The sequence below is a fragment of the Homo sapiens genome, chromosome 2 (assembly GCF_000001405.40).
Source record: "Homo sapiens chromosome 2, GRCh38.p14 Primary Assembly".
NCBI classification, from domain to species: domain Eukaryota; kingdom Metazoa; phylum Chordata; class Mammalia; order Primates; family Hominidae; genus Homo; species Homo sapiens.
The window spans coordinates 75,634,843-75,645,632 of NC_000002.12; the positions used below are offsets into that span (position 1 = coordinate 75,634,843).

The 10,790-nt window shown below is 39.6% G+C and overlaps 1 non-coding gene across 1 annotated transcript; it reads left to right on the forward strand.

Moving 5' to 3' along the window:
- The first annotated feature begins 298 nt into the window (after positions 1-298).
- LOC124906161 (small nucleolar RNA U13) lies at positions 299-402 on the forward strand. The gene has a single exon (XR_007088749.1). It is a non-coding gene; the product is annotated as a small nucleolar RNA U13 (small nucleolar RNA).
- The last annotated feature ends 10,388 nt before the right edge of the window (positions 403-10,790 follow it).

The window sequence follows — 10,790 nt, forward strand, 5'->3', positions numbered from 1 at the left end:
ATTCTAACCTGTTTTGTTGTAACTAGCTCAGATTTCACTACATGCTTGGGAAGAGGCAAGGGCTTAGAAACAGAAAATCTTAGACCGACTATGCAAGGAAGCCCTCACTGTATTCACAGACAGTGCTATCTCTGAGACATCTGAAAGACAGTCCTTGAAATTTGAGGAAATGGACCATGGTTCCTTAGTGACTTCAGCCTGAAAGACTAATCCCAACCCCAAGTAGTGAGCGCAAAGGTATTTGATGAACTTCAGCTGTCCTAACAGGAATATTTGCTTCAGAAATATTATCACCTGGATCCTGTTATGATTCATAAGCATGATGACTGAGTTTTCACACTCCTGTGTGAGATGTGCCTCCCTCTAACCTTATTACAACATTGACATCTTACTCATTTGACATGAAAAAAATAATATTATCACCTGAACTTCAAGTGTGACTCCAGCAGCTGCCATAAACTTCTCTCAACTCTGGATCTAGCTTGTAGGACTAAATTAACCATTTGTAGTTTCTGGGCAATGTAAGTAGGAAGTGGGTTTTGTTATTGTTATTATTATTATGCACACTTCCTATAGTAAATATTTTTTGTTTTTGTTTTTTGAGCTCCTACACGTCTTGCTGGGTATACCAAGAATGCAAGGCCCTCAGCCCTCTTTACCCAGGACATTTCTCAGGTGTGGGTTTGCTGTGGCCAACCATAAGAGATGAGGTTGTGTCACTTGAAATAAAGAATAGGTGTGTTTATTGCTTCCCGTAAAAGCAGCATATTCCTTAAGCTCAGTGCTCCTTCACTGTGAAATGAACTTACTATGTGGGCACCATTCATCTGGGCCTGTGGTGTCACCCATCTGGGACTTGAGGACAAGGGGAACCTTTGCAAACATGCTGATGCTCACGCTATGTCATGAATAATAAAGTGCTTTGTCTCCAGCCCAAGAGTCTATGTCTTCTACCAGTGTTCATGAAACAAGATGCTAACTTATTTACTTTTAAAGTAGGGTAAAATCAAGTCCCAGCTCCTTCAATTTTGTGTTACTTTTATAATAGCAAATCAGTTGCTATGATTACAAAATTAGAAAATATTCTTTTCTAACAAATTGTTATTTCCTTCCAAGATTCTCTTGGTAGCCATGATTAAAAAGCACTGATACGTTTCTCTAAACAAAAGACAAAAAATGGGATTCTAAGTCATTATATTTAATACTTCATTTCAGATTTTAAAAAATACTGTATTTCTCAAGCTCGTATTCCTCAGCTCTCAGCAAAATTCAGTTTTCTAGTAAAAATAATTCTCCTGCTTAGACTGAGGGTGGGCCCTGCAGCCATCTCTTTCCAAGGTTGGCATCTGCAGTGAGCTCCCCATCTAGCCTCACATATGCCTGATAGTGGGCACAGGTCTCTGTTCACACACTGTGCATTCCTCATCCCCATCCCTCATTATTCAATGGCAGCTAAAGCTGCTAATTTTCCTAGGTCCAGGGGCTTCAACCTTGCCTTCTCTAAACATTGACCTCTATCGTTTCTTCTTAGGGAGAAGCATCATCTTCTCAGAGTCCTAAAACTCATAAGCTCTGGACTTGGGTTAGAAGGTGGGTAGGAAGGAGGAACCCACCAACTCATATTTTTAGAAACTTGAAGGAGACCTGCCTAGGGATCAGCTTGGGGAATGCTAAAACCAATGAACCTCTATCTCAGCAAATTACTCTGTAACATCCATACTCAATGTTTTATTCCTCAACTCCTGTGCCCTCCCTAAAAGGTAAAGGTAATAAATACATAAAAACTGGCAATAAATGGAAACTAAATAGTACCAACACTAAAAACTAAACAGTCCTCACACTAATGATATCATTCAAGTCTCTGGCACTACAGTTGATCTTGAACAATATGGGGATTGGGACACCGACCCCCTCCCACACAGTTGAAAGTCTGTGTATAGGACGGGTGCGGTGGCTCACACCTGTAATCCCAGCACTTTGAGAGGCTGAGGCAGGCAGATCACCTGAGGTCAGCAGTTTGAGACCAGCCTGACCAACATGGAGAAACCCCGTCTCTACAAAAAATACAAAATTAGCTGGGTGTGGTGACACATGCCTGTAATCCCAGCTACTCAGGAGGCTGAGGCAGAAGAATCGCTTGAACCCGGGAGGTGGAGGTTGCGGTGAGACGAGATTGTGTGCCATTGCACTCCAACCTGGGCAACAAAAGTGAAACTCCATCTCAAAAAAAAAAAAAAGAAAAAGAAAAAAAGAAAATCTGTGTATAACTTTTGACTCCCCAAAAACTTTACTAATAGCCTTACTGATAACATAAACAGTTAATTAACACATATTTCATGTTATAGGTATTATATATGGTATTCTTACAATAAAGTAAGCTAGGGAAAAGACAATGTGATTAAGAAAATCATAAGAGAAAACATATTTACAATTCATTAAGTGGAAATGGATCACTATAAAAGTCTTCATCTTCATCGTCTTCATGTGGAGTAGGCTGAGGAGATGGAGGAAGCGGAGGGGTTAGTATTGCTGTCACAGGGGTGGCAGAGGGAGAAGAAAATTTGCATATAAGTGGACCCATACAGTTCAAAGAGTGATGTGGAAGGGAACAATTATATATCCAAAGGCCAGTTTTCAGCTTCCTCTGCCTGGGCATCTCAGGACATCTTTGGCTGTCAGCCAGCCCTCTCCTACCACCTCACTCTCATCAGCTTACTGCCTTCCCGACTCCCTTTGACTCTCTTTCAGACAGCTCCTTCTCTGCATCCCTGCTGCTCATTTCAACCACATATCCCTTAGAAGTTGCTGTTCTCCAGGGCTCTGTCCTGACCCCTTCCTCTCTCACACACAGCCCCTCCTGTGTGGCCTCATCCAGATGGCTCCACTTGCTGTCCCTCTTGCCCAGGTCTGTCTCCTCAACTTCAGGCTCACTTCCAGCCCTCTAGTGGACTTCTTTCCTTGCATGTGACAGACATGCACCCTAAGCTCAATGTTTCCAGCACACATGCAGCCTGTTCCCACAAATCTGCTCCTTCTCCCATCCTCTATCTCACAGAAATGCCACCATCCACCAAATTCCCAGGAAGGAGTCCGGGGGCTTCCCCCATAACCTGTCAATCACCAGGGCTTGTTAATTCCCTGTCCTCAGCGCCCACTTCTACCACCACTTCTCATTCAGCCCCAGGCATCTGAGTCGAGAGCACTGTCACATCTTGCAGGGATCACTGCCTCTACCTCTTAAATTAGCTCCATAAGCTGCAGCTCCAGCCCATTCTCCACTCTGCAGTGACAGGAAACTTTCTGAGATGTAAGCCTGGCCTTGTCATTCTTTTTTAAAAAATTATCTGAACACTCCTCAGTGCCCTCCTGAAGAAGCTTACACTCATTATTATGACTTCCAAATTCCCTCATTCCCTAAACCCAGCCCACCTCCCACTCTCATTTTCTGCTCAGGTAATATGCAAACAAATAAAGCAAGCTGGATTCCTGATTTTTAAGACTTACAGTTGAGCAGGGGAGGAAAATGAAAAAGCAGCAAACAAACCACTGAAAATATATCTATCATGTATGCTAAGTACTATGAAAATAGAAAACAGGAATAACAGGAGACTCCATTTGGAAGGGTGGTCAGGGAGTTCGATTTGCTATTTCTTGAGATTGAGAACCAGGAGGAGGAACAATCTAGGGAAAATTATAAGGATCTGCTTTTGGTAATAAGGATATCTGTAATGCTTTTTTAAAGTATTTGCTGCTGGTTTAAAAATATATGTATATTGTTCAAAGCAGTAACCTTCAGCTTTCTACAAAACTTGTTGTCCAACATAATGAAGACTCCAGGATAACACAGTATTCTACTTCTGTCTTCTAACTGGAGTCTCATGCATGGGGTGAGAGGGGAGGAAAACATTCTCTAATTTATTCTGATTAGTCTTAACCTCTTCTGGCTTCCCTGGTTATATATATATAGTATTATATCCTCAAGACTCAGTTCAAGTCTCCTTTCTTCTGAGAAACTTTCCCAACTGACCTTGCCTGGGCAAAATGCATTCCCATGTGCTATGGCAGTCCACAGAACACACATCCTCCCAGCAATTATCATTTTGTATTATAATGTTGTCTTCAGAGAAAATTATTTCTCTTTGTCCACTTCTGTGACTAGCTTATAGTAGGTACACGTTATTTATCTGCTGACTATGTGGAACACCCAACACATGTACTGTGTGACCTTTGCCAAGTCATTGCTCTTCTGTAATCCTCAGTTTTCTCGTCATTCCAGAATAACACAGCCTACAACGTGGTGGTAAGGCTTAACTGAGTATTGATGTAGTCTTAGTAAGAATTGGGTTACTAAGCAAAATATGATGGCATAAAACTTTCTATTTATGCTCCAATATTTCTTCTCCAGCTTATCATCTTGGGTGGGCAGTGCCAGGCATTCAATTGTAGAAAGAAACACTCTAAAGGGACTCTGTAGAAAAGCTACAGTGGATCCCCATCTTTTACCATGTATAAAAATCAACTCAAAATGGATTGACAACTTATAGGTAAGATCTGAAACTATGAAACCACTAGAAGAAAGCATTTGGGGGAAACACTACTGGACATTGGTCTGGGCAAAGATCTTTTGGGTAAGACCTCAAAAGCACAGGCAATAAAAACAAATATAGGCAAATGGGATTACGTCAAACTAAAATGCTTCTGCATAGCAAAGGATACAATTAACAAAGTGAACAGACAACCTACAGAATTGGAGAAAATCGGAACTCAAGTCAATAGCAAAAAAAAAAAACATCCCACAAATAATCCAATTTTAAAATGGGCAAAAGACATGCATAGACATTTCTCAAAGAATATATACAAATGGCCAACAAATATATGAAAAAATGCTCAAAATCACTATTCATCAGAAAAATGTAAACCAAAACCACAATGAGATATCATCTCACCTCAGTTAGAATGCTTATTATCAAAAAGACAAAAAATAATGGATGCTGGTGAGGATGCAGAGAAAAAGGGAATCCCAGTGCTGTTGGTGGATGGTACAGCACTGTGGAGAAGAGTATGCAGGTTCCTCAACAAACTAAAAACAGAACTATCATAAAATCCCATAATCCTTCTGCTGGGTGTATAACCAAAAGAAAAAAGATTAATATATCAAAGAGATATCTGCACTCCCATGTTTATTGCATCACTATTCACAATAATCAAGATATAGAATAAGCTTAAGTGTCCATCAATGGATGTATGAATAAAGAAAATGTGATATACATACACAATGGAACTCTATTCAGTCATGAAAAAGAATAAAATTATCTCATTTGCAGCAACATGAATGGAACTGAAGGTTATTATATTAAGTAAAATAATCCAGGCAGAGAAGTACAAATATCGCATATTATCACCATATGTGGGAGCTAAAAAGGTGGGTCTCATCGAGGTAGTGCATAGACTGGTGGTTATCAGAAGCTGGGGGGGTGTATGTGTGTTGAGGGAGCAGGGAGACACAGATAAGTTGGTTGAGGGGTATAAAAATACATTTATATAGAAGGGATAAGTTCTAGTATTCAATAGCACAGTGGAGAAACTACAGTTAACAATAATTTACTGTATATTTCAAAATGGCTAGAAGAGAATTGTAATGTTCCCAACATAAAGGTAAATGTTTGAGTTGACGGACATCCCAACCACCCTGATATGATCATTACAGGTTGTATAAGTGTATCAAAATATCACATGTATCCCCAAAATATATACTATGATGTCCCAATTTTTAAAAGAAAGGAAAGAGAGAGACTTTTTAATAAGGGAAAAAAGAGAAAAGCTAGAGGGGACCTAGACCGTCCAGCGTTGCTGTGTGGTGCTGTGGCCACCAGAGGACAGCCTAACCACACATGCTGTGGAACTCTGCCTTCCAGAGCCCTGAGGGTGCAATGTTTTCCACACAGCTGAGAAACAATTTTTTTTCTTCCAGCCACGTGGAGGAAAATCATTGTCAAATATATTACATTATCTCCTACCCATTATAAGTTGATTGTTATAACTGTTTCCTGTGAGTTAGTCTCACCATTTTCTGTCATTGTAGGTATCTGCTTAATATGAAATCAATGCATCTTTTTAGTCATTTTGTAGAGAAAAATGCAAAGGAAGTTGGCCAGTGCCCAGCCAGAAAAGGAAAGAGCCTTAGCCAAGTAATTTGGGGAATTTCCAGGCCCACTGATGAGTCCATTCTGGTGCAGACATAAATGAAGGAAGTTGTAGACAACAGTTGTCAAGTTCTCTGATTCCATTGATGAAATCCTCCCTAATAGGAGACTTAGCTTGTTGCCAATAAACACTTGAAACCTATATTAAACTCCCTTTGTTCCATGTTCATCAAGCAACCCCTTCCATATGTGACATTAAATTTTGCCTTCCGAGAGAGAAAGTCGTGGTCACAAAGACATAAATGTTCTGGTATTCTGGTCAGCATATTATTTTTTGTTCACTTATAAGTTAATAAACTAGCATTTAGTTTTGTCATATCAATTTCAAAAATTTGGTTCATGTAAGTCTGCCCTAAATGATGTATCTATTTAATGCTGTGCTGAAAATCAGGTTCTGGGCTTCCAAAATCAAAAGTCAGACCCAAGGCCATGACAAATTCTCCAAAGTCAATATTATCTGTGAGGCCTTGAAGTATATATTTTGCCTGGATGAAGGAACTTCATGTTGCCACATAAGCTCACCCCCACCACACATACACTCCTTTATTCACTATCTATTACTATTTAATAAATTGCTCCTAAATTAAGCAGCTTAAAACAACAAACATTTATTATTGTACGGTTCTGTGGGTCAGAAATCCAGAAGTGGCTTAGCTGAGTGATTTTGACTCCAGGTCTTTCACAATGCTGCAATCAAGAGGTTGGCTGGGGCTATAGTCAACTCAAGGCTCAACTAAGGGAAGGTCTGCTTGCCAGCTCATTCCTGTGGCAAGAAGCAGCCTTGCTGGCTGTTGGCTGGGGACATTGGTTCCTTGCCATATGGACCTTTCCATAGGGCAGCTCATAACAGGTACCTGGCTTCCCTCAGAGTGAAGCAAAGGAAGTAAGAACTATCATAGTCAGTGCATTTGTGTTTTTATTTTATTTTTTTAAATTTATTTATTTTTTCGAGATGGAGTCTTGCTCTGTCGCCCAGGCTGGCATGCTAGTGGCGCGATCTCGGCTCACTGCCACCTCCGCCTCCTAGGTTCAAGTGATTCTCCTGCCTCAGCCTCCTAAGTAGCTGGGATTACAGGTACGCCACCATGCCCTGCTAATTTTTGTATTTTTAGTAGAGACGGGGTTTCACCATGTTGGTCAGGCTGGTCTCAAACTCCTGACCTTGTGATCTGCCTGCCTCGGCCTCCCAAAGTGCTGGGATTACAGGTGTGAGCCACCACGCTCAGCTGTGTTTTTAAAATAGTGTATTGATTTTCATTGTAAAACCAAAATGTACCTATTACAGAAAATGTAGCTAGAAAAATTGCAAAAGCAGGGAACACGCTTAATCTCACCACTCCATCTATGCTTTGTGATACTTAATCATAAATTCTATGTCTAGGTGAATGTCCAGAAGAGTATGCCCTAGGCTTTATTCTAGGATTTTTGTAGTTTGAGGTCGTACATGTAAGTCTTTAACTCATTTGGAGTTAATTTTTGTATGTGGTGAGAGGTAGTGGTCTAGTTTCATTCTTTGGCATATGGTCAGCCAGTTTTCCCAGCACCGTTTATCGAATAGGATGTCATCTCCCCACTGCTAATTTTTGTAGACTGTTGAAGATTAGTTGGTTGTAGGTATGCGGCTTTATTTGTAGGTTCTCTATTGTGTTCCATTGGTCTGTTTGTTTCTTTTTGTACCAGTACCATGCTGTTTTGGATACTGTAGCCTTGTAGTATAGTGTGAAGTCAGATCATGTCATTCCTCCTGCTTTACTCTTTTTGCTTAGGATTGCTTTGGCTATTTGGACTCTTTTTGGTTCCACATGAATTTTAGAATTGTTTTTTTTTCTAGTTCTGTGAAAAATGATAGTAATTTAATAGGAATGTCGTTGAATATGTAAATTGCTTTGAGCAATATGGACATTTTAGTGACATTGATTCTTCCAATCCATGAGCATGGGATGTTTTTCCATTTGTTTGTGTCATCTATAATTTATTTCAGCAGTGTTTTGTAGTTCTTGTTGTAGAGATTTCATCTCCTTGATTAGGTGTATTCCTAGGTATTTTATGTTTTTGGTGGCTATTGTAAATGGGACTGCATTCTTGATTTGGTTCTCAGCTTGAACACTGTTGGTGAATAGACATACTACTGATTTTTGCATATTAATTTTGTATCCTGAAACTTTACTGAAGTTGTTTATCAGGTCTAGGCGTCTTTTGGTAGCATCTTTACGGTTTTCTAGGAATAGGAGATTCTTTTTTTGGATGTGTTAATACATGAATCAGATTATAGTTTCCTCTTGCTGGCATCTTTAAAATAAGTTTTACAAAAAGCTTTTTTTTTTAATTAGGTGAAGGATATGTTAATTAGCTAAACTGTGATAATCATTTCACATTGCATACATATATCAAATCATCATGTTGTACACCTTAAATATATACAAATTTTTATCTTTCAATCATGTCTCAGTAAAGTTGGAAAAAAAGAATTTTATTATGATCTATACATTTATCTGCAAACTTTATGCATTATCACAATTTAATCCTTATACCAACCCAATGAGGTAGGCATACCTCTATCCTATTACCCATGAAGAAGAAAAGGCAGAGATGGGAACCTCTCTCAAAGACTCCAGTTAGTACATTTCAGAAATTTTTTTTACTGACTCTACCTCACAAATAGATGGAGAGACAGAAAAAAAAATACCACTTTCTATCTCTATTGCCTCTACCTCAATTGTTCCCAAATTGGAACAACTATCAGAATCACCGGAGGATTTGCTAAAGCACAGATCACTGGGTTCTGTGCCCAGAGTTTTAAATTCAGTAAGTCTGGGGGCGGGACCTGAGAATTTGTAATTTTAACACGTTCCCTGGTTGTGCTGATGTTGCTAGTCAAGGGCTCACACTTTAAGAACCATTTTTTTTTTTTCTGTTCCAGGTTAGCACCATCTCTCTTTTGGAATATTTCAATAATTTCCTGCTTCCCAGCCATTTTCTAAAGTACAATCAGAATGATCTATCTAATTTTACTTAGAAATATTTATTGGGTGCCAGATACTCTACTAAATATAGAGGATGTAATAACAAGCAAAACCGACAAGGATCCTGATGTCACAATAACCTGAAGCAGCCAGTTTGCCTGGAATACTTTCTTCCCTTGGCTGAACATTATGTAATGATGTTCATGATCTCCTTTCCAAGGGTGTAAAACACAGAAGTAAATAATTAAAGTTCTATTCCTGTGATCAGCTCATAAAATGGTTGAGCCAGCTCTGTGCTCTTTGATTTTGCTCTATGAAGTTGTTTAATAACAACTTAAGTTGGAATAATTTAAACTCCAGCTTGTTCTCCAAATTAAGATAAGGTCAAAACGGCCTGATATATGTTGGATGAGCAAGAATACGGGAGAAAATTAGATAAGATTCTTTAGGTTCATTCTTCCAATTTTGTAAAACTCTACACAACTATTCCTTCATCTGTGGAAGAGGAGAGGGCAGCAGGAGTGGCTTGGCAATGTCTAGTAAATCCTGCTGTCCTCCTGTGAAGGTCTGTCTTTTATTTCTCTGCCCCTACCTTTAGGACCAATCCCAGCAAGAGTGAAGGCCACGTGTTCTGGGCATGGTTAATACAGAAAAATCTTCACCACTGCCAGTCATGATTATCTTTGCCTCTCCTCCCTTTTACTCTTAAGGGCTTGAAGTCTACTTTTTCGGGTAGGTAGAAGAGCCAAAATATTGCTCATCTGAAATTTTGGTTGTGAGATTCCTTGTCATTTATAGAATAAATTCTTGTTCTAATCAAAGAAGCTAGAGTTAAAATAGAAGGCCCTGTCTTTCTTCACAGCATCTTGAATTCTGTGCTCAAAACATGGCCCTGTTCCTCAGGCTGATGTAACAGCTCATGTTCTTCAGGATGGCAAGTCAGAGTATAGAGGCCAAGCTGCAGAGGTTGGTTGCTTTTATGAGCATTTGACTTCTGTCAAAAGTAAACAGTAAGGCTTTAAACTGGGGAAAGGAAAGAACAGGGTATGCATTTCTGAGCCATCTTTTTTTGGTTGCTGCGTGAAGGACTGGAGGTAACCAGAGGCAAGAAGACTAATGAGAAGGCTGTTGCAGGGATCTCCAGGGATCCTGAAGAGAGAAAATATGTTGACCTAGATTGGAAATATGGATGGGAGGATGAGAAAGTATATGGATTCCTGAGATATTTGACGGTGTCAGGCATAGTTTTTGGAACTTCATCCAGGAGGAGACAGGGAGGAATCAAGAATGGCACTGAGATTTTTGGCTTAGGCAAGAGAGTGGATGCTGAAGCCATTCCTTGAGATAGCCAATACTGGGAAGGAAGTCTGGAGCTGAAAAAGATGAACTCAGTATGGATAGGCTGAATTTGAGGTAGCTTTGGGACATTAATGCAACTGGAATGACTATTATGTAGTTAAATTATCACATTACTCTAAGTGTTCAATCCTTATATAACCACTGCTGAAATAACAAATTCCAAATTTCTTTTTTTGTGTGTGTTTCTTTTTCTGTTTTTTTGAGACGGAGTTTCGCTCTTGTTGCAATGGCGCGATCTCGGCTCACTGCAACCTCTGTCTCCCAG